Genomic DNA, 26,561 nt, shown 5'->3' with positions numbered 1-26,561 from the left:
AAGGCTGCAAGGAGCAAGAGAACAATGTACAGCCAGGCCCCAGCAGTTCTTATCATCCTAGATGAAGCACCTGTCATGTGGAGAAGCCTCTGGACATACAGCCCCATAGAGCCTTCAGTTGTGCTACTGGGTTGCATGTTTGTGTTCCTCCAAATTTAATGTTGGAACTGAATCCCCAATCCAACAATATTAAGAGGTGGGGACTTCAGGAGGTGTGTAGGTTATGAGAGCTCCATGTCATGAATGGGGTTAGTGCCCTGATATAATAAAAGAACAAGAGGGAGTCTGTTAGTTGCTTTTGCCCTTGCTTTCCTCCCACCTCATGAGGATGCAGCAACAAAGTGCCATTTATGAAGCAGGGAGAAAGTCCTCACCTGCACCTGTTGGTACCTTGACCTTGAACTTCCCTACATCTACAACTGTGAGAAATAAATTTCTATTGCTTATGGATTACCTGGCCTAAGGGATTTTGTTATAGCACCAGGAATGGACTAAGACAAGTTAATTCCAGCCCATGTCAAGATCTCATTGCAATTGTATGAGAGATTCTGTACTAGTCCCCTAGGGCTTCCATATCAAGTACCACAAACTGGGTGGCTCACAAAGAAAAAATTTATTTCCTCACAGTTTTTGAGGTGAGGAGTCTGAAATCAAGGTGTTGGCAGGGCCATGTTCCCTCTGAACTCTGGGTAGAATCCTTCCTTTGCCTTTTCCTAGTTTCTGGTGATGGCCATCGATCCTTGGTATTCGTTGGATTGCAGCTGCATTGGTCCAAGCTCTGCCTCTGTCATCACATGGCATTCTCTCTGTGTGTCTCCTTCCTCTTACAAGGATGCCAGTCATATGGTATTTACAGCCCATCATACTCCATTATGACTTCATATTAGATAATTATATCTACAGAGACCCTGTTTCTTTTTTTGTGTATTAATTTGCTTATTTTTATTTATTTATTTATTATACTTTAAGTTCTAGGGTATATGTGCACAAAGTGCAGGTTTGACACATAGGTATACATGTGCCATGTTGGTTTGCTGCACTCATCAACTCATCATTTACGTTAGATATTTCTCCTAATGCTATCCTTCCCCCAGCCCCCCACCCCCTGACAGGCCCTGGTGTGTGATGTTCCCCGCCCTGTGTCTAAGTGTTCTCATTGCTCAATTCCCACCTATGAGTGAAAACATGCGGTGTTTGGTTTTCTGTCCTTGTGATAGTTTTCTGAGAATGACGGTTTCCAGCTTCATCCATGTCCCTGCAAAGGACATGAACTCATTCTTTTTTATGGCTGCATAGTATTCCATGGTGTATCTGTGCCACATTTTCTTAATCCAGTCTATCATTGATGGACATTTGGGTTGGTTCCAAGTCTTTGCTATTGTGAATAGTGCCGCAATAAACATACGTGTGCATATGTACAGAGACCCTATTTCTAAATAAGGCCAAATTCTGAGGCAATGGGGGTTAGGACTTCAACATATCTTTTGGAGGAAAACAATTCAGCCCAATACAGACCCCAATCTAGAACCATCTAACTGAACCCAATCAACCCAAAAACTCTGAAAGATAATAATAAATGGAGGTTTTAAGCCACTAAGTTTTATGTTGGATTGTCCCATAGCTATAGATAACCAAAATGCCTTTCTTTACTCAAATCTACTCAACCTACTACAATTTGGCTTCTGCCAACACACTCTACTGATGCTGCTCTTGTAAGGCCACCAGTGACTGTCCTGGTGTTCAATCCAGTGGATGAGTTGCTGTTCTCGAGGGATCCCTTAGCCAATACCTCTACTTCTGTGCCTCCCTAAAGTCCATTGAAATGACCAAGGAAATATGTATGCAAGAATAAATTCACTAAATCCCTATAAAGCAAAGAAGGTGGACATGAGCAGACTAGAAACTTGGAGTGTTTTTTAAAGATGGAAAGTGGGTAGGATTGGATTGAAAGAGGAAGAGAAACATGGCCAAGGAGCCCATGGCTCAGCAGGCCAAGGAGAGGACCACTGGGAGGGCAAACACTTGCTTTGTCAGCAGGATCCAGGGGAGAACTCACACTCAGAGTCAGCAGGGGCTGGAGCAGGAACAGGAAGGCCTGCCAGAGTTGGAGCCAGACTGTTTCTGCCCCATCTCCCTTACCATGCAAAGCATGGTGGAGACATGCCCCCTTACCTACATTTGTTAGAAAAAATAGCACCTCATAGGGGAAGAAACATGAAAGTATTTCCCATCCATGTACCCTTTCTTGCCACCAGAATGGAGGTGGTGTGGTGGGAGTGGTGCCCTCTGCTGTCTAGCCATGCACACACCCTGAAGGAAGCCTGCCGGGAGGGGACCCTCATGTGACTCAGCCGGCATATCCACTCATGGTTTAACTACTCACAGCGGAGGGCTGCTCAGAACATGAAACACCTTTCATTCAGTGTTTCTCAACCTCAGTACTATTGACATTTGGTGCCGGATAATCCTTTGTTGGGGGTCTGTTCTGTGCACCGTACGATGTTTAGCAACATCCTTAGCTTCTACCCATTAGATGCCATTAGTATGCAGCCTCCCCATTGTGACAGTTGTGGCAACCAAAAACATCTCCAGATTGCCAAGTGTCCCCTTGGCAGACAAACTGCCCTGATCGAGAACCACTGCTTTTCATTTGTGACTGACAAACCCTCTCTTCGGCTCTTTGCTTATTACTAAGGGACTATAAAACTCAGTCCTCTAGGAAATACTAGTCATGTCTAAGTGTAACTGCCTTCTAAACCCCTACTCCCACTCTCTAAATTCTTCCAGGGACTTTACTTTTTCCTTCACAGACGGAGCCACAATGGAGACTCACACTTTAAGACAACATCCAGATGGCTGGTCTTCAAACTGCAATTGCAAATGCCTGCAAGGGAGGCTCTCTGTAGTCTCAAATTCGTGATTTGTGGTTTCAGATGTGTGCAGTTCTTATGCTAACTCAAAACTTTTCTCCAAGTAATGACTCTTTTTTTACGGAGTCTGAGGAGCATGGCTTACAAAAGAGGAAAGGCAGGAGCGGGCAGCTCCTGTGGCTCTGTCTGTGAAGGAGGGGGCAGCTGAAAGGCTAATACCAGGGATTTGACTCTGCTGAAGTCAGTTTAATCTACTCTCTAAAAGATAGGGGCAGAACAGGCTACAATTCTGTCCCCTAGACAAATGGCCTTGCTGGAGTTTCACTGAAGTTAATTACCCCTCTGAAAAGGCAATGTCTCTGCAGAGGAAGGATAGTGGGGCAGGAAATCTTGGAGAGTGAGAGGACAGACATGACTGGGGTCATGGCTGGAGTCCTTTGTGGGATCCTCTGGGCTGGCCAACTCTCATTAGAGGGACTAGGAGTGTGTATGGGATAGGGCGTGGGAGGGAGCCAGTGAGAAAAGGCCCTTTCTGCTCAGTCTTTCTATGAGTGTCAGGGGAATTTCTTCATTAGTTAGGCATCCAGTTATCTTTCCTCTGTGTTTTCCTGTAGAAGTAGCTGCACTCACGCAACTTCCCAGCCACTCTTTTCAGAGAGATGGCAACTGTCTGAGTAAATCAATGTTGCCATCTCAACTCTCATTTAGCTACAACAGTGAGCTCACCTGACAATGCAAATGGAGAAAGGGGAGGAGATTCAGGCTTTCTAGTATTTACTGAAATCCGAAATGTCAAAGTGACATCTCAATTAAAAAAAAAAAAGAAAGAAAAAGTAAAAAATGTTTTTATTGCTCCAGCAATCAGCAATCTCTGGCCCCACCACCTGTTTTTATAAATAAAGTTTTACTGGAACACCGCTATATTCATATGGTCTATGGCTGCTTACAAACACAGGGTAGATTAGCTGTGATAAAGAATGTATGGCCCTCAAAGCCTAAGATATTGACTAGCTTGTCCTTTAGAGAAAACATGTGCCAGCCCTGGCTTCGGATCACTGAAGGCAGAATTTATTTTGCACCATATATAGTGGACTTGTTTTTCTTATTTGTGCTATAACTAACCCTAAACAACTGTAAGGGTTTCAACATAAGACTCACAGTTGTAGAAGATATGTATAGATTTAGGGCTTCTTTATTTTCCAATGAATCATGCTCTTCAGAGAGGTCTGAAATGCTGTGGGACCAGAGACTAGTTTGGACCCTCCAGTCAGCAGAAATGTAAGATGGAGCCAGGGCACACAAGACAAGGGACTGTCTGAATGGAAGAAGTGTAGAGGAGGTGATGGGACCACTTTGAAACCCAGGACAGAGCCGTGACGGGTGGGGTGAGGTAGGGCAGAGGGGGCCTTGCAGGGCCCTCCTGCACTCCCAGCCAGCCTGCCTCCTTCAGCTTTGCTCCTCCCATGTGCTGGGAAAGCTCCTCCAGCCCCAGAAAGAGGCTTCCTCCAGCAGGTTGGGCCCATCAACGAATGCTGAAGCTCCTTCTTCCCGTCTGCTGCTCCTATACTACAATAACTCTTCTCTCTCTTTCCTCAAACCCAGACTCCCTGGAGACTTCAGCCTCTAGCCTACCCTTTGGCAGCCTTCCCAGCCCACTGGAAACACCCTGGGGAGAAGAGAGCTGAAGACAAACACAGACAGGTCTTGTAAAAAAAAAAAAAAAAAAACCTGTCAAATTTCATTTTGAAAATCTTATCCTACATTTAAATACAGTTCTAGCAAAAAATAAGTAGGGAAACAGAATTTTCTTTACAGACTGATGGCTGCCGGGTGGGGTGGGGGGTGGAACTTGTGAATACGTTCTACAGGATTTTTCTTCGAAGACAATTCATTTAATTCCACAAATCACTGTTACTATGAGCCAGCTGTTGGGGTATGGGGGGCGCTTTACTCATAGAACTCCATTGTAAAATGCTGTTGGTTTCCGAAAGTAAAATCTTCTGTATATAATGATAGGATATGAGACCATTTGGATAATATAACCACCTTTTATTTGTATTTGTGTAACAAAGCACTATGAAAGAGAGGACCATATTTGGTCTTCCTAGCCAATCTGAGAAGTAGATAAAAAGTTATAGCTTTGTAAAAATAAGTTAATTAAGGCTCACTGAAGTTAGCTGCCTTGCCCAACCAAGACTGCCCTACAGTACAAAAACGACATGAAGCAAGACCATGATTTCTGAGTTCTTGGCATTTTCCCTGGCATCCTTGATGTATCTTCTAAATTAAAGTGCTGGCTCTCATCTTCTAATAGGCCCCTATCACTTCTTGTAAGAAGTCCCTGAATTCCGTTGCCTGCTAAGCACTGTTTGTACACTAAATAAGGGATACATCATGAAAATACATCTAAGAGGCCATAATAAACAGCATATAATGGAACTCATTTAAAAGGCACCTTTTTGTCATTTTTATGTGTAATAAATATTAAAAGTAAGTGTCTCTTATTATTTAATTGTAGAAAGACTTGCTCATTTTAAAAGGCTGAGAAACAGCAAATTAACAGGTTTATTGAAGTGAGTATTACAGAATTTGAAGGAACCACAGTGGTCTCAGGTAGGAATGTAATCTTGAACAAATGGTCCCCCATAGTCTCATCCCTCCTTTAAAAAGCCAGTTAATCATAACAACTCTTTGGAGACAGGCTGTGTGTCTGTGCCTGGTGGTTAGGGCTGCAGGCTGGTGCCAGACAAATCTGAGCAAGTTTCTAAACTTTTCTCAACTCGAGCTTTGGCATATATAAAATAGTACTTGCTTATGGGGGTTGCTGTAGGAATTGAATAGGATAATACATTTTAAAAAATTACTTAGCCCAGTGCATAGCACATAGTAAATGATGGATCAATTTTTGTTATTGTTATCAATAGTATTATTGACATAAATAATATGTGTTTGGCCTCGCACCTAGATCAGTTAGTACTCTCCTAATTTCTGTGAAAAGACGCTGCTTGGTTGAGCTATTGGAGGCTTGCAGAAACTTGTTGTAGAAAAGGTGGCCTGTCTTTCTCTTATTTCTTGCTACACAGTGTCCTTGCCTCTATTAAGGTAGCAACAAGCCCCAGGCAATATTACCTTTTCAAGAAGAGGATAGGCTCCCATATTGGGGCTGTCAGAGAGAATTTGGGACATGAGAGCCGTTTAAATAAATCAGACCTGACAAATCCGATTTACAGATTAAAATAATGTTGTGGTATTTACCAACAGTATATATAGCAAGTTAAGACACCACCAACAGGCAGACATTGATTGCCTATTTTAATCAACTGGTATAATTTAGGTACCACTAGAAGCAAAATGCTTAGGAAAGGTAAATCTGATCATATATAATTTCCATTTTGATGCACTTAAACGTCAAGTAAGACCTTTGTGCAGGGTTTGTTACAAGGTGACACATCTGCTGTATTATGTGAGGTCACATCAGGTTTCATTTGGATGTTGGGAGAAGATCTGACTTGACATAAACAGATGCCAAACAAAGCATTAAAGCAATTTCACCAGTGCTTTTGTATTAAGATAGGCAGAAAGACGATGGACACCTGCTGCCTTCATACATTCCCTAAATCTCCGATGCCTGTGGGGCCTTATCAATATCACTTCCTCAATATCCCCACCTTTTCTGAGTAGAATCAAGAATCACAGCCTTGAAAGAAACTTCAAGAAGTCACTTGGTCTAGAAACCCTGGAGCAAGGTGATTGCTTAAGAGAAGCATGGTCTGGTTTTCAAAACTTATTTGTTGAATGAATACATGCATGAATGAAAAAATTCTCTTCACCTTCCATCCCCAGAAGGCTGCTTTGCCCTGGGGGTATGAGAGGAAATGGAAAGTCTAGAGAGGCCCCAGAGGTTTAAAGCCTCATCCAATCATTCATTTATTATTTGTACCCTGCCTACTTCTAAAACAGATTTAAGGCAGTTTCCAACAAAAGATACCAAAAATAAAGAGCCTTATCCTCAATCATCCCTTGCAGGGTTTTATTATCACTTTCATGATCATCAAACACAAGTATTAAATGGCTATTTGCATGAGATGCTATGCCAGGGGCTGAATAAATCAGGCAGAGCCAGGCTCTGACCTCCGCAAATTTCCATCCATTCAATTTGCATTCATTCACTCTCCTTTTTTTTTTTTCCCCTGAGACAGAGTTTTGCTCTTGTTGCTCAGGCTGGAGTACAATGGCACAATCTCGGCTCACTGCAACCTCTGCCTCCTGGGTTCAGGCGATTATCCTGCCTCAGCCTCCCAAGTAGCTGGGATTATAGGCGTGTGCCACCATGCCTGGCTAATTTTTGCATTTTTAGTAGAGAAGGGGTTTCACCATGTTGGTCAGGCTGGTCTCGAACTCCTTAACTCAGGTGATCCATCTGCCCTGGACTCCCAAAGTGCTGGGGTTACTTTGGCAAATATTTATTCAGCACATTACACATGAAAGTTCTGTTAGGGAGTGTGGGGGGCAAACATGCATCACATGTGGATCTTGCCCTGCCCTCAAGAAGTTTACAGACTAGTGCAGAGGGCTGGGGCAAGGGCAGGTGATAATGAAGTGTTTGTGGATAAGCCATAGATGGGATCCGTGCTGTGAGCTGGTTGCAGTGGGAGAAGGACAGGGAGACTGCACTTGCTCATTGTGTCCTAAAGACATCCAGTCTAAAGTAGATCAGGATGCAGACAAAGCTGTGAAGAAGAACCCGACTCTCCCAGTAACCTCTTTGACCTCTGGCTACTCTCTGCCTTCTTTCTCCCCTGCTCTCCTCCCAAGCCCTAATGTTGTCACAGCTGTCACGCTTCCCCTTTCCCAGAAGACTTGTAAGCCATCTTGGCCACATGTCCTGGAATACACATTCCCATTCCTATCCATGTCTGCTCTCTGCGGGCCATCACTGACAGCTGGGGTATGGAGCCCTGGTTTACACTCAGGTAGAAATAACTGGTCATTGTTTATTGCCAAGCCATGCCTAGGAGTGACTACTTTTAAAAGAGGGCCATGTCTAGGCACAAAGGACGCAATCCTGATAAAATACGTGGCTCCTGGAGACCGCCTGTTGGGGTGAGGGCTTTGTGGTTGCCTTCAAATCCAAGACCGAAACAACTTCCAGCCCTGACTACCTATAAGGCACAGAATCCCCAGAGAACATCCTTGAATGGTCTCACGAGCAGAAGATGCCCCTTGCTCTGAGGCCAGACTCTAAGGAGCAGAAAGAACCTCTCCAGCTACAGTCCTTCATTCATTCCTTGGAGCAGCAGTTCTTGAACTTTAACTTTTATAAAAATCACTGGGGAAGCTTTGAAAAAGTGCAGATTCCAAGGCACCATCCTAGAAACTCAGTTTCTACAAAAGGTCTAGAGTGGGCCATGGAACTCACGTGTTTAGCAGGTGTCACAGCTGCCTCTGCTGAAGTGGACTTAGGGCCATCCTTGAGATATATGGCCAAAGGGATGTACATCCTAGGAGGAGGTCCAGAGGGCAGACCTTGGGTCTTTCTTATTCATAGATTAATTCCTAGCACTGAGAATAGTGCATAGCTCTCATTAGCTATTCAGTAAATATGTGCTGATTTGATGAATGAGTGAATGTGGGCTTGCCCTGCTTCCTGGAATCCTGTGGGAGTGGAGGGCTTGGCAATATTTTGTGGCAAATGATATAGCTTTGTAAAAGGCATAAAGGTATAGCAGTGTCTACGTGAAAGATTCTGGATTATGCAGATGTGGAATGAGGCAGTGGAGAACAAGTATGTAGCTGAGGGTAGGAATCACTTATGGATCTTGCGCTGCCCTTGAGAGGCTGGCAGGCTGAGGGTGGGGTGGGATTGGGAAGACATGCTTTGAAGCTCAGCCTGAGAATCACAGACTGTTTAGTACCTCATCACCCACCGTCTCCTCCCCAGTCTTCTAGAGACAAGAGACATGGAGGGCTGCAGGCAGGACTGCAGGACTGAGGAGCAAGGGATGTGTGAGCTCAGGGCTGTGGGCAGTGCACACAGGGCCACCTGCTCCAGACCCTCACAAGACACCCAGCAGCCTCTTCACACCACACCCTATAGGCAGCTGCCTCTTTTGCTTAGTGTAGAGCAGAACCCCAAATAGCCTGCTTTTTGCTGAGGCATTTACCCTGTGGCATTTAGCCTATTGTCAAGTTAAATTTATTCTTTTGTCTTCCGACTGGCTTTGATAAAGAACAAGTGTCAATCCATCTAAGAAAAGAAATTCTACAACTTCTTTCAGTTGTGGGACTCATGGTGTGGCCTCGTAATCCACTGTCAAGAGATTCTCATGCCTCGTGTCTCATGTCAGTTAGTGAGAAAGCAAGGAGCACTCTGGACATCCGCTGACTGCATCATTGCACTCCTCAAAAGCACCCCTCGGGGTGGTCTGGGCACTGGCAGTTGCTTAAGCAAGACTGGCTGTCTTACAAATCTTGCTAGCACCTATGATGGCTTAGTGGCATTTATCTGGCCTATTTTTCTCTCACCAGTGGAATGAAACAGGACATTGGACATAGCCTGATTAAACTGGACTTCTGTCCAATATCATCATGCTTTTAATGGATCCAGAATCTGTTTTGGGACAATCTGGGAAAATTTCCCAATCGATATCCTCTTTCCCAGAGTTCAAATGAAGGATTCATCTAGGAATGGCTGCATGTGTATATCTATTCCCATGAGAAAAGATATGAGACCTAGATTCTGGCTGGAGACTTGACCTTGGGCATGAAGTATAAACTCTCTAGACCTCAGATACTCATCTGTAAATAGAGCAGGTGCTTCAATCAGTAGTGGAAAAAGTCCTCCAGTGGCTTCTCATCACACTTAATCTAAAATTCCTATGACCTACAATGTTCTTCTATGTCTACATGAGTTGAAACCAGCTACTGTTCCCAACCCCCTGTCCTTTGCTCTGGTCCTCTTTGTTCCTCTAACATGTGAAGCTTATTCCTGGTTTAAGACCTTTGCGTCCCTTACCCCCACAAATCCCACCACTACTCCTCCTAGAATGCTCTTAGCTAGATTTTTGCATGGCTATCTCCTTCTTGTTATTCAGGTGTCAGTTCAAATGTGACCTCAGAGAGGCCTCCTTGGCTACGCCATCTAAAGGAGTGCCTTCCCACTCCATCCAGGTACTTTCAGCTATGTTCCCTGATTTACTTTTCTCAAACTACTTCCCATTACATGGAATTATCTTGTTTATTTGGCAGTTTGCTTGTTTATATGTAGTTCTGCCATAAGGTGACATATGTGTTCCTAAAAATCACTATGTCACATGAAATTGCACAATGTAAACCACAGGACTTATGGAGAAAATAGGGTTGGGGGCCCAACATGCAAAAACTTCATCAGGGACACGTTACGGGAAAAGATGGCAACAATAAAAATAATAGCACAGTTTTATATATGTTAAGTGGTCAGTATATACATAAATACTACTGTACCCTGAAAAAGATCTGAAGTTTGCTTGTGGAGGCAGGGGTGGGTTGCAGCCTGTGAGTGATTGTAATGCGATAGAACAAGGATTATGTGAAAATGGATCAACAGTTGTAATACCAGATGCAGATGGATGTGTTTCATAACAACATGGAGAACTGAGGAAGCTGGTAGATCCCTAAGTATGTCCACTCTGTATATTCCTATGTGACTCAGTTCAGCTGGGTGCAGTTTTCTACCTTGCAGTGTTTCTCATGGACAACTCATGCATAAGCAAACACAAAATTCACATTACACCCAAATTGTTCCCTAATAAGTTGCACTGGAACAAATTCATGTTTTCAAAGTGAGCATTATAGGGGATCTGATAGCATTTGTTTGCTCCACTCACTTGAATTTAATCTCCATAAGATCAGGGAAATTCTGTTTTACTCATTGCCATATTCCCAGCACCTAGGCAGCCTGGTGCATAGTGGGCTTTTAATCAATAATTGTTGAATAAATGAATGAATGGGTTTTTTTTTCGACATACTTCTCTTTGCACATGGTAGTGATACACTTTCAATGGCTATAGTAATCTTTATCGATGTGGTAGTTGCTGTTGGTGAGTGAGAGGTAATAGAATAAGAAGGGTTTCAACAATACTCTGCTTGTGAAGACAACCACAAACATGAAAAAACAAAACAAATCTATTGCAGGTGATTCAGATATCTACCTAGGTCCTTGCACCTTGCTAGTCATGGGAGAAGGTCTCTAACTGTATTCATTACAAAAACATGATTTTAACTATCGATTGCTTTGCAGAGTTCGTGAAAAACCATGGATGCCAGTAGAACCTGGAAACCCTACATGGAGCATAGTGTTATGTGGAAAGGCTTTTGGAGCTCATCCCATTAGGAAGAAAGGAACCTCAAGTCTAAATGTAAGCAGGCAAGATTGTCTGGGGAATGCTAGCTCCTGTCCCTCCGCTCCATATAAGTGTGTCTCAGACCTAAAATTTAATCATTCTCTACTAACTCAGAGAACAGAATTAGAAGTAGCTTTGAAAGGTCATCTCAGACAGGTGGGTTATGTCATATTTTTAAAGAGTTTGAAAATTGTTTAAATTTCAGAGAAATTTTCTAGCACTACTACGTAAAAGGTCAAATCAGAAAGTCCCCAAAGAGCTCAGGAATGCTCTTTCCTTTAAATTTTCTGATTTAAATTCTGAACCTACGAAAATGTGTCTGAAAATGCAAATGTTGTGGTTGAGTCGCTTTAGTTTATCAGGCAAAATAGGGAATATTTTGTGATGATTCTTTACTTCCTCAGTAATAGCTCAATCTTATGGAGAGTTGAGTGGAGTGGCAAAGTAATTACATGGTGAGTACCATATATTTACGATTATTTATGTTTTCTAGATTGGAGTACAGGATAATTATTTTTGGTCTTATTAAGTGCAAATTACCAAGTAGTCTTCAGGAACATGTAATTACTATGTACTGTAGTCACATGCCACTTACCAAGCAAAATGAATGCAGTGAAAATTTTATTTAATACAAGCAAAATGATGCATATGGTTTTATGAAGCAAAGCACAGAGGCCTACTTTCCTGCCTTGGGAGAGGAAACAGAAGCAGTCCTTCTTAACATAGGGCATTTCCTCAATTAACTACATCAACTCTTTGCAAAGCTTGGTTCTCATTAAGAATACAGATTTCTGGCTGGGCGTGGTGGCTCACACCTGTAATCCCAGCACTTTGGGAGGCCTAGGTGGGTGGGTCACCTGAGGTCAGGAGTTCGAGACCAGCCTGGCTAACATGGAGAAACCCCGTCTCTACTAAAAATACAAAAATTAGCTGGGCGTGGTGGTAGGTGCCTGTAATCCCAGCTCCTTGGGAGGCTGAGGCAGGAGAATCGTTTGAACCCAGGAGGTGGAGGTTGCAGTGAGCTGAAATGGCACCACTGCACTCCAGCCTGGGTAACAGGGTGAGATTCTGTCTCAAAAAAAAAAAAAAAAAAATACAGATTTCTGGACACTCAACTCACGCCTACAGAGTGTAACTTTCAGAGGTGAGGCCCAAGTACCCAGGGGCTTCATATGTACACCACAGTGAGAACACCTGCCCTACATTCAGAAAATGCTCTGACCAGTAGTTTCCTCAAAACACAACAGGGAGAATATTTTGGAATTTTAAAAATGGGGTCCACATATGCAAGATAGGTGGTGTGTATTTTTCTGTTTTTGATTATTTCACAAGTTTGTGTTACTCCTTTTAGATTGTACTTTGACAAGTATCCTTAATCCCAACTGTTGTAAAGACATAAAAGTGTTATTATATGTTGTTTTCTATTACACATAGATCATTTAGTTATATCAAATGGCTGAAAATGTATGCCACATAGGTACACATCCATAAAATGCTCTAACAGGTAGAATTTCCTCAAAACACAACAGGTAGAATATATTGGAATTTTAAAAATGGAGTCCACATGTGCCATATAGGTGGCATATATTTTTCTGTTTTTGATTATTTCACAAATTTGTGTTACTCCTTTTAGATTGTACTTTGAGAAGCATCCTTAACCCCAACTTTTATAAAGACATGGAAGTGTTATTATACGTTTTCTATTATACATAGATCATTTGGTTAGATCAATTAGTTCAATTTAGCTGAGATCTTTCAGAGTTCCATTTAGTTGAGATTTTAGAGTTTAGTCAATGTGTGCTCTTGTACGTCCATGTGAACGCACATAAACAAACACAAAATCTGAAGGAACAGTAGTCCTCAAAAGACCAGACACTAAATAGGGATTTGACTCATGATCAGAACAAGGGTAAACTTTCTTCCACAGATATTTACTAAGTACCTACTTTATGCAGTGTAATTTTATTTTCCTATATTCACTCATTCAATAAGTCTCATTGATGTAAGACTCATTAGCTGAATTGAGATAGTTCAATGAGATGGTTAAGATCACAAGATTTGGAATCAGAGAATCCCTGTTCCACTATATACTAATGAGGAAACCATGGGCAAGTGACCTCTGTAGCTCACTTTCTCCATCTGTAAATTTGGGATAACAACAATGCATATCTCAGAAGGTTACCTGGAGGAAAAAATAATGTCATGCATCCAAAGTGCTTAAAACACTGTTACTATCTATAAAGGTCTCCACAAATTAAGCTATTATTGGTGTAATAAACATGAGAATACTATATTTTAATGTCTGGCACCTACATTTTCTTCCACATGCATATTTTGAAAAGAAAAATCAGTAAGACATTTTTTTACACATATCTTCCCTTTCACTTTTGAAAACTCCAACCACACTGACAGGCAAGAATAGAACACGCTTTGTCCTTGCTGAGGCAGAGAACAGGTTAACTTTCTGACTTCAAGAGAAGCCAGCTGGAGCGGCAGACTGTCTGCTAATGGTAAGGGAGGGAAAGCAAAAACTAATTTTAGCCATCATTCCTCAATCACTGTCCAGTTCCCTCTCATACTTCTCCCTGCCTACTCCCACCATCCTCCCTGGACTGTGAGGCATAAGGCCCTTTCCCAGGGCACCTTCAGTCCCTCGAGGGAGGGAATAATTTTGCAGCAAGCCACTGGCCTCTTCTCTTGAATTAGAGATGCTCATGTCCCAGCTTAAAACACATCTTGAACACCATAAATTCCAGCCTCCCATCACTTGCAAATTATCTCTTTTTATCAGAGGCCCTCATGCAGCCATGTGCCTTTTCTGCCATCTTTTGCTGAAAGTGACTTTTTCAGAAATGTGAAACACTGCTGTGGAAAAATTTGAGAAAGTCCAGGTACAATTTAGCTTGGTCTTCTAGTAAACAAGGATGAGGGAAGCAAAGATTAATGATGATTGCTAGGGTGACCCCATATGCTTGCATAACTTTCTTCACCCTTGCTGTTAAAGTCAAAATATCAGGGGAAAAGGAGAGAAAATTATGCAAGTAAATATCATATTTCATGAGCCTGACTTTCTGCTATGAAGATTGTGAAACAGAAAATATATTTGTGAAATGCAAACATTTTTCACTTACTAATGTTTATAATTAAGGCACAAATTCCTACTCAAACAAAAATCCTAGCTTGGGGAATAGAAACAGAAACAGAAACACAACTAATGCTTTTGCTGACAGCAGGTTTCTTCTGTAGGTAATAGCAAGCATTCCATGTGTGCATAAGTACCAAGATGTATTTCTGTAGGTACACAAACATATATGCATATATAATATGGGCAGAAGCAACAAAAGCTCAAAGAACAAAAGGAAACATCTAACTGCTCAGATCCGAGAGCCGCGTAAGGCTCATTTTGTTCTGGATAGATAAGCAATGAAGAAAAGGCTTGGAAGACATAGTCTGGACAGAGAATTAAAGAGGATTAGTTTACCAAGCCAGAGAAAACCTGGCCTGGAAGGATTCTGCTAGTGCCTAGCCCGGGTCCAAGGAGTAAATATTGAATAAAAGAAATCTTAGAATTACAGGACTGTAAGAGGCCTTAATAGTTCTCTAATTCAATCCTAGATTTGCCAGCAGAATGAATGCCTCAGTGACCGCTGGTCTGGGAATAGAGTGATTTAGTGCAGTTGAGCTGCCTCTAATGGGTTAGGCTCAGACAAGGGCATTCCTTACCTGGGGCCATGCAGGATGACAGCAAAGCCAAGTTCTGAGATAAATTCATCACAGGTAGGGTGCTGATCAGACCACCCCACCTGTCTTTCCACCACACTCAATCATCAACAACTTCACTTGGGGTATGGGCTTGCCTTAGCACCAGATCCTGCTCTAGCCCCCACTCCCAAGTACTGGGGGTTTCCTTGGCCTCCTTTACCTGTGATGGGAAGATGTGCTGGGGTCAGCTGCATTTGGACTGTGGTCTTTCTTAACAAATCATTTTGGTTTCTCTTTATTTCAGTTCTGTAGCTCCATCACTCTGCATTTTAAAGATAAATTCCAATATAGTTTCTGAACATTATACAAGGTAGCTTTCAGTTAAAATTAAGTGCAGGCAATACATTGATTCCTGAAACTTAAAAGAAAAATCATGGTCAATTAGTAATGCTGTCAGGAACTTTCAATTTAAAGGAATATCATTGTGAGTCGTTTTGTCATATAAAAATATTTTGTAATGCAAATGTCTCATTTGGGTAAATCTAGAATTTTCTCTATCGTGGCTCCTTTTCCAGCCAAACCAGTAAGACTGGGGAGCAGAAAGGATGGTCTGTATTTTTAAATAATATGTACAGAGCACCTACTACATGTGCATTTGTGTTAATTTTTAAAGTTGCATGCCCTCATCCAACTTCCATACCTAAAAAGGAGAGATACCACAATGTTTTATTGATTTTTTAAAGAGATCACCTGAATGCCACTCAAAGCCCTTACTGTGAAAGCACCAACTTCTTCTCTCTTTTTTTTTTGTTTTGAGATGGAGTCTTGCTCTGTTACCCAGGCTGGAGTGCAGTGGCGCAATCTCAGCTCACTGCAACCTCCGCCTTTCGGGTTGAAGCGATTCTCCTGCCTCAGCCTCCCGGGTAGATGGGACTGCAGGCGTATGCCACCATGCCCAGCTAATTTTCTGTAGTTTCAATAGAGACGGGGTTTCATTGTGTTAGCCAGGATGGTCTCGATCTCCTGACCTCGTGATCTGCCCACCTCACCCTCCCAAAGTGCTGGGATTACAGGCATGACAGACTTCTTATACTAGCCAGCCCCCATTCAAGCTGCTCCTTCCTGCACCTTCCCACCATTGTGCCCTCACCCTACCCCATATCTGGGCTTTACTGTGGCTTCAGCTATGACTCACCCTTGAGTCTCTTATTGACTTTGTTTCTACCCCCTCCCTGCCTAACCACTTTAGAATATTTTCCTCTGTTTCAGAAAGGTTATGTGTTGGGAGAAAGCCATGTATCCTCTGATCCTGTTTCAGCAACCTCAAAAGAATTAAGAGACAGAGTGGAATAGATTGCTACATAATTGATGCGATTAATTTGTTTCAATGAGTGAAATGACAATTGTGTCCCTGATGCCCTTGTTTCCATCAGCTCAGTGATCTGATCCCAGATCTGGTTTCACTTTATAGGTCTAACTTAACAAACACCATTTGAAAGTCCTCTCATTTTGTAAACACTGTGGCATTGCATTTTTGTGTCAAAAAGCTGACAATCCTTTGATTTTTACAATTTGAGCCAGGATTTGGCCCAAACTAAAATTGATCAGTCATTTCCTAGGTAGATTAGTGTATTTAGACCCAAATAAGACCAAACAAAAACTACTTTAGGAGTATTGATTATTCTTAATAATGTGGGGAAATGAGGAGATAGCAGAGACCTGAGAATGAAATCAGGCTCTATCCAAAAGAACTGAGATCTTAGTCAATAATTGTTTTATTTAAATGTGCCACATGTAAGAACATCATATAGCAATACTGGAAAGTATTATATATTATGGCACAAATAAGTAGAGGTTAAATTGGTAATATTATTTTATGTCTCTGCATAGGAATGTTTTGGTCTCAAAAGATAACTGTTCTTTAGAAATGCCTTGTTTTGTCATGAATGGGATTTCTCAGCATTTTACTTGTGCATACAAGATTCCGCTAAATTCTTGCTGAGGGTTCTCTAGCCTTGAAAGGGAAAATTTGCTTCCCTTTTGGGGTGAAAAAGTAATAGAGTTGTTTCAATTGATGTGTATATAGAATTTTATATCAATGCTCCACATTGGTTTCAACCAAATGGGAGAAACAATTCAGGACCTGGGATACTGATGGGGTAGATGTATCAGACCAGCCAGCTGAGGTCTCCCTTTCAATTCCAGAAGAGCCAAGTCATAACTGGATGAGGACAATCAATCTGAAGTCTCAGACCAGCCTGCAAAATCCAACAAGTTCTTGTTAATAACAAAGATAATTAACAACTACAGAGCTTACTGATGCACAGCAGACCAACTTTACAGGTCCTAATATTCTTTTCATCTTTACAGATGACAAAAGTCAAGTGAATTTTCTAGAGGTACACAATAAGCATTGGCAAAACCAGAGTTGAAACCCAGTTGGCTTCACATCAGAGAAGAAGTTCTTGCCTGGATCCTATGAAATAACAACAATCTTATGAAAATGGCATACTCTGTGGGAAATCAAAGTCTTGTGGAAGGAACAGCCCAGGGTAGACTGGCTTTGTCACAGAAGATTTGATGGGCTTGCACTGAAGAGACATATTGACTTACAGATGGCATCAGAAATGAGGGATATGTTGAAATCAGATGTATGGAGTAGGATAAAGTGACTTCCATGTCATTTAGATGTCAACATCATAAGATTGAGTGTTGATAGCTGGGACAGATGAAAAATAAAGTTGAAGAGGCAGGGGTGATTCCTGTGGAAATTTCAAGCCAGGCTAAGTTTAGACTTGGCTTATTAGGTATAAGGAGTCCAGCTGATTGATATTCAGCATGGGACATGTTTTAATAGTGGCAATTTAGGAAGATTAATGCCATGTTAACTATGAGAGATGAAAGAAAGAAAGACCAGCAATGATGCACCACCGTTGTCTCCATGAGACTCAAGATGAACATCTGGACTAGCAGGGTGGCAGAGGGAATGAACAAAATGGGATGATTTCTTAAGATATTCCCAAGGGAGAAATGATAGAGCTTAACTGATTGACGTAAAGGCCACTTTAGAGTGAATATAAGATCAGTATTTAATTCAACGGAAGTTTGTCATGTAAAAATAATTCTATGTTCTGGAACTTTTGAATAACTTCTTTAGCATGCATTTTGTGACTAAATCTTGCCTGTTTTATAAGGTTTAATTTTGTTTTAGCTTATTTTCTGATTTTTTTTTGGAGAATAAACACTTTGTGAGTTGTTTAAAACAAATCTTGAGTATTATTTTGTTTTTAATTAAGTACTTTGTTCAGTTCAGCTGTTGATTTTTTTGTTAAATCAAAACTTTGAATTTTTTTTTTCTAATTTAACTTACAAATTCACTTTTGCCTTCACTATTTTGTGCTGGTTGTTTCTTCCTGAGTTTAAGATACCTAGTCTTACACTTTTATTTCTTTGTAACACACACAATGCTTACCAAACTGCCGGGCACAGAGAACATTTATTGTTATAGTGATTAATTTGCTTTTAAAAATAAAACTTTTTTTTCAAGTGTCAAGCATTGAAAAATATTAATATTTAATATTTTTTTCAAATGCTCTGGTTTGATTTACCTTTAGGATGTAATTCCATGAGGACAGAGCCTGCATATGCGATGTTGTTTCACCTTTAAAACCTAACATAGTATCTGGCAAAAGTTCAAAATACATTAATTGAACAGATTAATGATTTATTTGCTTGAATAAATATTTTATTTTTAAAAATAATAATTCCAGAGCTCTGAATAGGTTAAGATTTCCTGGAAAAGCAGTAGTACACATTCTGTGTTTGTATTTTTCTTGTATTGGAAGAAAGTGTTGTATATATGTGTTTGTGTGTTTGCGTGTATATGTGTGAGAATGCATGTGATTTGATTCTTAATATGTCAGTAGAGAAATGCCTGTTTCTGAAGGCTGACCCCAGCTATCAAGGAAAGCAGAAGAGAGGGTGGCAGGTAATTTCTGAACAGATGGTGGCAGAGGCAGACCCATAAAGGAAGGGCCAGGGTCTATCACAGTTTCTGTGCCGAATACAGAAGCTGCCATCTAAAATAAAACACTTTGTTTCAAAACACCAACAATAGGAGGAAAATGATTATAAAAGAATTTAAGGCACTGTTCTGTATTTGTGTTATATTACAATAGCCAATTCAAAAAAATCACAAAGACTAATACACAAATAATTTATTATATAAAAATAGCTGATATAAAGTCTTTCAAAAATTGAAAATAACCTATAAACCTCATTTGATATACATTTGATCAGAGGAAACTAGCCACTATTACAGACACATTTTAAGAAAGATTTTAGAAGTAGTTATTCCCTAGGGATGACATCTAATGCAGAGATGATTGTACTGACCCAATGGCTTTTACTTTCAGAAACCTGTACTGCCTCGTGATCAAGGAGGTGTTTCCTAGGCTGAAATTTTCAACCTCATCTAGAGTCAGAAGTGATGTTGATCTGAACCTATGACAATGTGTGATTTGGCTTCTGTTTCTATAATACTTTAAACTAAGTACTGGATAGGAAACTCAATTCCAACCAGAAAATAATAGGTTTTGTTTTTCAAGGACTTTTTGCCAGAAGAAAAAATCATCTCTTTGTTTGTTTCAGGTAATGATGAACTAAAGGATGTACATGTACACACACACATCACACATACACAGACACACACATGTATAGCCAAATTTTGAGACCCACATTTTCATAATTTAACCAAAATTTGGGCAATTTCCTATTTTGTACCAAAAATGATCTTGCAAAACCTTAATATTTGTGGTTCCCATAATCATTATCCAATGAGGCCTACATAACTCTAAATATGCCTAAACCACAGCTGTTAAATAAAAGTTTTAGCAGAATGTTTTCTACAGTGCTTTTTCAGGAAACCATCCCAGCCACAAAATAGTTCTCGGCATCAGATATTTTGCTTTCTTAAACCTGGATTGAAGATTGATGATGATTCTGGGATGTTTTAAAATCACTCTATAATTGTAAATGTTTAATCAAATTCATTGCAGAATTCAAAGACTTACCCTTTGACTTAATGTACTGCTCTGGACTCAAGAATGCTCTAATCAGACAGCAGAGCATCTGTAATTGGCATTCTTGAGGCCAATGGCCATGGCAGCCACTTGAATAAATTCCAGGAGCATTAGCCTCTGAAAATATTCCTTGTTTTATTTTCAAATGCTTTCTTCCAAATTGGGCTCCAGAATTTTTTTTTTCTTTTCCAGTTACAGAGTGAGTACAGCTATGCTCTTAATATTGGCCTCAAATATATTTTAAGCAAGTGGGCCGAAGAGTAATTCTCCATCAGAAGTGAACTTATGACCCTGTCAATTAAAAAAAAAGTCACAGTGAACGTGTAAGATAAAGACTGAGACACAGCTTGCAGGCAGGCAGGAGAAGAGTGGGGAGGGGAGGGAATTCAGATCAAGTTTGCTGTTTCCTAGCATTTTGTATTACACGGTCTGAAATGTATGTCAGCTTTTGGATCTATTCATAGAGTCTAAAACTCCTCAGCCCTAGATGCATATTTTGGAGAGCCCAAAAATGTCTGCACCTCTTTTCAGATTATCTGAAACATATGGAGCATTTCTCACAGCATCAGGCCACTCCATCACTGAGACACCCCTGGCCTCTTCCAACCCACTAATGCATTAGGTTGGACCTTGCTGTGTCTTTGGCCACAAGTTAATCATTTGGGATGGCACAGTCTGGGAAGAGCTGTAAAGTACCCTGATTTGTCTTGCATTGAGGAACAGCCTCCTGGACTCAGGACTGAACTGTGTGTGCCTCGGGTAGTGGAGGGAAGATCTCACTGACCAGACGAGGCTGCGCCGGGCCTGCTGGGGTGCAGCACTGGGGCTGACCAGCCCAGGCTGAGAACAAAAGCAATAATCCAATTAGAGTTCCAATCCCTTTTGATGAAGACATACTTAGGGAAATCTCAGGTGTCAAGTGGTAAACACTTTACTTCTTTTTCAGTCAAAGATATATTAAAAAATAAAATGTCAAAAAGAAGTTTCACCAATTGTGACATATTTAAATATCAACCTTTAAACTAAACTAAAACATTGAACACACACAAAAACCCCATATAATTGTACCCTCACAAGATGATTATAAGATTTACAACAAAAAGCTTCTTCCAGGTGAGTAATGGCCGCGGGCCACCTACATGCAGTGCAGGGCATCCAGCCTGGAACCAGCCTTTATGAGTCCACAGGTCTCCGCATTTCCTCAATCACAGGGCACAAAAGATTGCTGGGGCAGTCAGAGCAGGGATTGAGGATGTCAGAATGGGGTGGGGCAGAGTCAGATTTCGAAATTTTTTGATTTTAATAAAAAGACTTCACAGTGAAAAGAAAACCAAATGATACTCAGGGAGATACAGCTCTAGGTCAGAAATTTCAAATCTTTTTTTTTTTTGAGATGGAGTCTCCCTCTGTTGCCCGGGCTGGGAGTGCAGTGGTGCGATCTCGGGTCACTGCAATCTCTGCCTCCCAGGTTCAAGCAATTCTCCCGCCTCAGCCTCCTGAGTAGCTGGGATTACCGGCACCCACCACCACGCCCGTCTAATTTTTGTATTTTTAGTAGAGATGGGTTGTCACCATGTTGGCCAGGCTGGTCTTGAACTCCTGACCTCAGGTGATCCACCCGCCTTGTTCTCCCAAAGTACTGGGATTACAGGTGTAAGCCACTGCGCCTGGCCTCAAATCCTTATAAAATGATCCATAGCAAGATAATTTACTAAATTATTAATTTATGTATATTTCCCTCACTGCATTTCCCTCCTCCATTCCAATAAAGTGTCCAGCTTTTGTATTCCTTTAAAGGTGGAAGTAGTCAGTCCTGGGTAAGTGAAGTTCCAACACTAGAATGGGAATGTGTTGGGGACCTACAGGGTGCCCTAGAATGCTTTTAGGTCCTCTGAGGGGAATTGCTGTGTGGTCTCCTTGGTTGGCTGGACCCAAGTAGCTGTTCTCTCACTGCTGAAAGTGTCCTGTGCCCCACATAGTTCAGGATCCACGGAATGACCTAAGGGCTCACATCACCTTGTATGAATAGCATATCAATAATGACCATGGGCACTGTAGGCCACAGTCTTCTCTTGAAAGGTTTTGCTTTATAAGACCCCTAGAAACTTGCATGATTCTAGAGGACAGAGGGCAGGGCAGAAAGGGAGAGCCAGTAGTAACAGATACTGAATTACCCAGCAGCCAGGTGGAATGCAGATGTAGAATCAGAATCACATTTAATTTAATTTTGAAAAAAAATGAAGTCATGTGACATTTCTTACAGCTTAATGTAACAGGTGAAAAGGTATAGTTACCACCAAGCTATATATATTTTCTTTACTGGAAACCTTATTTCCAGGTCCAACATGAAAACAGATCAAAATTAAAGCTTTTCAAACTGAAATGGGTTCTAAAGCCTGAAGCCCTGTCTCCTCGTTTTCCCAAACAGCACCCACGAAGCTTCACAGAGGCCTTGGAGGTCCATAAAGGTCTGTGGATTTCCATAGAGCACAGTTTGAAAACTGCTGTTCTACTTAGCATCCATTAGTGGAGAATTAATGATGGCCATAATAATAATATTAATAATATTATTCGTAATAATAACATACTGCTCTATAGTTTAAAAAGCACTGTTATGTGTGTTAGCTCACTTAGTATCTGCAGTAACCTAAAATAGAGGAAATAGATACACTAATTCTTAAGATGAAGCAACTTGCCCTAGGCACAGTACGAGTAAGTTTGGTGCCTATTTTTGTTGATTTTTAATATGGGAAAATAAAACAAAATACGAAACTCACTGAGGACACATAATAAATACTTATATGCTCATCACCAGAAATGAATGATTATTAACATTTTATCATATTACCTGAGATGTAATTATTAAAGAAGTAAAAAATTACAGATAAATAATGTTATGCTTTCCTCTCTCCTTTCCTTTTCTGCAGAGGAACCTATAAAATTAATGTAATGTAATGTAATGGGCCCAGGTACTTGTTTTATTTAAAAATGATATATAGAATTGCTTGTAAATTCACCTTGTCACTCAACATTAAATCATTTTTACTAATATTTAACAGTACTGCATCACTTGATCACATTATAATTAATTTATCCTTTCTCTTGCCAATGGACACTCGGGTGGTTTATGACTGTATACTATTATAGACATTGCTACAAAGATGATCATAGCCATAACTGAAATAGTTTCTATAGAGGAAACAATGTTATTAGATTGGTGCAAAAGTAATTGCGGTTTTTGTCTTTTTTTTTTTTTTTAAATGGCAAAATCAGTTTTTTTTTTTGATGAGCATAATCAGTTTTATTAGATATTGCCACTTTGGTCTCCAAGTTACATCTCCACCAGCAGTGTATACAAGCTTTGATACAACTACATTACCTCTGAAATTTGAATTGGCTAGTTTTAAATTGTTTTAAAAATTTCACTGGGGTTAAATAATAGCACATTGTGGTAAATAGGAACTCTCTATTACTAATGACATAGAACCTTATTTCATGTTTATTGGCCATGTGGGTTTCTCGCTCTCGGCATCACCTATTTAAATTTTTTGTAGATTTCTCAGTTGGTTGTCTTTTCCCTAGTGATTTCATTCATTCATTCTTTCACTAATTCATTTGTTCATTTATCTGTTCAATAATCTCTTGTTAAGGGCCTACCATATCCCAGGCCTACTTTTAGGAGCCTGTTGAGTCCCATACCTGGTAAACTTCAGTGCGGGAAGACAAACACAAGGAAGTAAGCAATAAGCATATACTGTAATATTAGACAGTTATAAGAACTAGAAGGAAATACAAATTGAAGGAAAACAGAGAATAGTGAGAATGTGTGTGTTCACATACGAAAGAAGTGTCCAGGAATGGGTTTTCAAAGAGGTCACATTCTGATGGAAACCTAAATGAAGAGAGGGAAAGAACTTTGGGAAGATTTAGAGGAAAAGTATTTCATGGTTAGGAAATGAGAGCAAAGATAATGAGGAAGAAAGAACAATTTTGAGATGTGAGGAACATTAACTAGTAAAATCATTTTTTCATCCATGTACTATGTCCTTTAACATTATTTGCTAATTTGTTTGAAGTTTATTTATTTGAATATGCATACATATTTTTCCTCACTATTAAATTTTTGTTAAATTTTCTAATTCGTTACTCCCAACATAAAAGCCAGGGTTTGAAGTGAGGGTTTCCAATGTAAAATTTCACATCCTTTTTGTTTTATCATGTTACCTCTCTCAAATAACAATGGAGAATGCAGACCAAATATGCAGAAAATTATAATTAAAAGCAGAAGTTTACACAAAAACTCTTCAATGGGAAATTCTCTGATGAATTTTTGAGCCTACTTTAAGACCTGCCTATATTCTTTCATGCCATTCCACAGCCACTATAAATACTGGTGGCAGAATAATTCCAAACAACAAATTTCAGCTTCCAAAAATGACCTCTTTTTGAAGAGTAAAGAGAGGCTGATATTTTCATGCCTTGTCCAAAGGAGCAAAAGGCTAGGCTCATTCATTTTCTTTTCTCTGTAACACCCTCTTGTTTTATTCTTAAATAAACAAAGCAAAAACATCTTCCGTCTTCCTTCAGAACTCCCCATATTTTTGTCAGGACTACACAGCTAGCCTGTGTTAAACACTATCACGTGACAGACACTGGAAGCAACACTTTCCATCCGTTAGCTCATTGAATTCTCATAACAATTTCAGGAGCGAGGTATTCATTGCCCTTTCCATATGTGGAACTCCGGTTGGGGACGGTTAAATGACTTGCTCACAGTCATGCAATCTGTAAGTGGTACAGTCCAGATTTTCTAATCTCTAAGGTGTTTCTAATTTCAAAGGAGTTCCCACTTAGCATAAAGCAAAATAATCTAAGAAGCTCTTGAAAATGACTCTATGTTCTTTGTCACTATGGGAAGCCCCAGGGACACACTTCTTGTCCCTACAGATGTGGGAACTCTCCTTGGGCTCTGAATACCTGATGCATGCACATTTTGCAGTTTGATAACATACAGTTGGTCCAAAGCTCACTCAGTTCAAGTGAACACACTCCAGCCTTACTTTGTCATTGTCTCTTCCTCTTCCCCATTGTCTGCCTCCTACTCTCTCCACTCATTACTACTGGAAGAAGGAATCTCCCTCTTACTCAACAAGGCCAAAGTGGGCCTAGCATGAATCTGTCAAAGCAGGTGGTGACCCAAACACTGGGATCCAAAGGCTTTGGGAATATCCTCTGACTCTTGTGAATCCCAAAATCACACATTTCAGAGCTGACAGTGACCTCAAGGAATGACCTCATCCAGACATCTGCCGCTGTCAGTTGTCAGACATTATCTCAATTTTGCTGATGAGGTAACTGGTACTCTGTGAGATTATGTGACCAACTCAAGGTTACGTGCTAGGAAAGTAACTGTGAAGGCCTATATCCCTGTATAATAAGTGCTTCTTTTATTACATGATTAGATTCTTTCCTTGGGGTTTTGCGATGTTTAAAAAATATTTAAACTTCTATATCTCAGTTGTAAACTAAGGAAAAAAATTAAGTAGTGACAGGATGAAGACAGAAACACCAGAAGTGAAGGGAGAGAGGGTCTCAAACTCACATGCAGTGATGAAGAAGAAAAATTTTGCTGACTTCCCGCTTTGCACTGAATAAAACATATTTTGCATTTCCAATTCTACTTTTCTGGAATTTTACAATGATAGAGTTGGAGAAAAGGGAAGGGGAGAGGACAATATGTTATGTACTACACATTTGTATCTCATTTAATTCCTCCCCACCCCAGAAACCTAAGAAGTAAAAATTGGCTCCCAATCCCTTATCTACAACCCTTGTGGTTCGATGCCTCCCAGATTCAGAATTGTACAGATTTTAGAAAGTCAACAGAGTGCATGTATCATACATTTCAAAACATTCTCAATAGTATTGAAGAAGGATATTTCCCTGACTCCTTTGCAGGACTCGTGACATGGGTGCCCCATTTACTCAGCCTGTTGCTCTCAACTCCTCACGGGAGGGAGTGTGTGAGCAAATGAAGTGGGAACTGGAGTACATGAGTGCTGGAACCAGCTGGCCCCTTCAGCACTGGCAGGGATGATCTCCACTCACTCAGACCCGCTGTGCTCCACCCCTCATGGGAGGGAGTGTGCAGGTGAGTGGGTGCAGGAGCTGGGGTGAGCGCTTTGGGGCACCAGCAGGAGCAAACTCTGTGCCGGCCCTGCAGCAGTCTCTAATGGGGTGCCTGTGACTCCTGCAGCCCCAGTGGGCATGTTACGGTGCTCTTTTAGCTCTGCCATCTTCAGAAAGGTTAACTGTTAGCAGCTCAGTGGGCCCTTCTGTATCTGTACTTGATCCTAAACTTTTGTCCGGCATCCAGGAAAAATGAGGTCACATGAAAGAATTAAAGGATGGTAAATGTGGGGAATTTTATTGCCAGTGAAAGTTGCTCTCAGTGGGAAAGGGAACTGAAAAGGGAATGGGGGATATAGGTAATCTTCTCCTGAAGTCTGGCATTCTTTTCTGAAGTT

General features: G+C 40.7%; 1 protein-coding gene across 1 annotated transcript in view; it reads right to left on the bottom strand.

Annotated features, from left to right (window-relative positions):
• SEMA6D (semaphorin 6D) overlaps positions 1-26,561 on the bottom strand; it is a 590,140-nt gene that overhangs the window by 182,743 nt on the left and 380,836 nt on the right. The window lies entirely within an intron of this gene.

This window comes from Homo sapiens, chromosome 15, assembly GCF_000001405.40.
Source record: "Homo sapiens chromosome 15, GRCh38.p14 Primary Assembly".
NCBI classification, from domain to species: Eukaryota; Metazoa; Chordata; class Mammalia; order Primates; family Hominidae; genus Homo; species Homo sapiens.
Note: the sequence above shows the minus strand (reverse complement) of the source record. Positions and strands in the feature narration are given on the sequence as shown.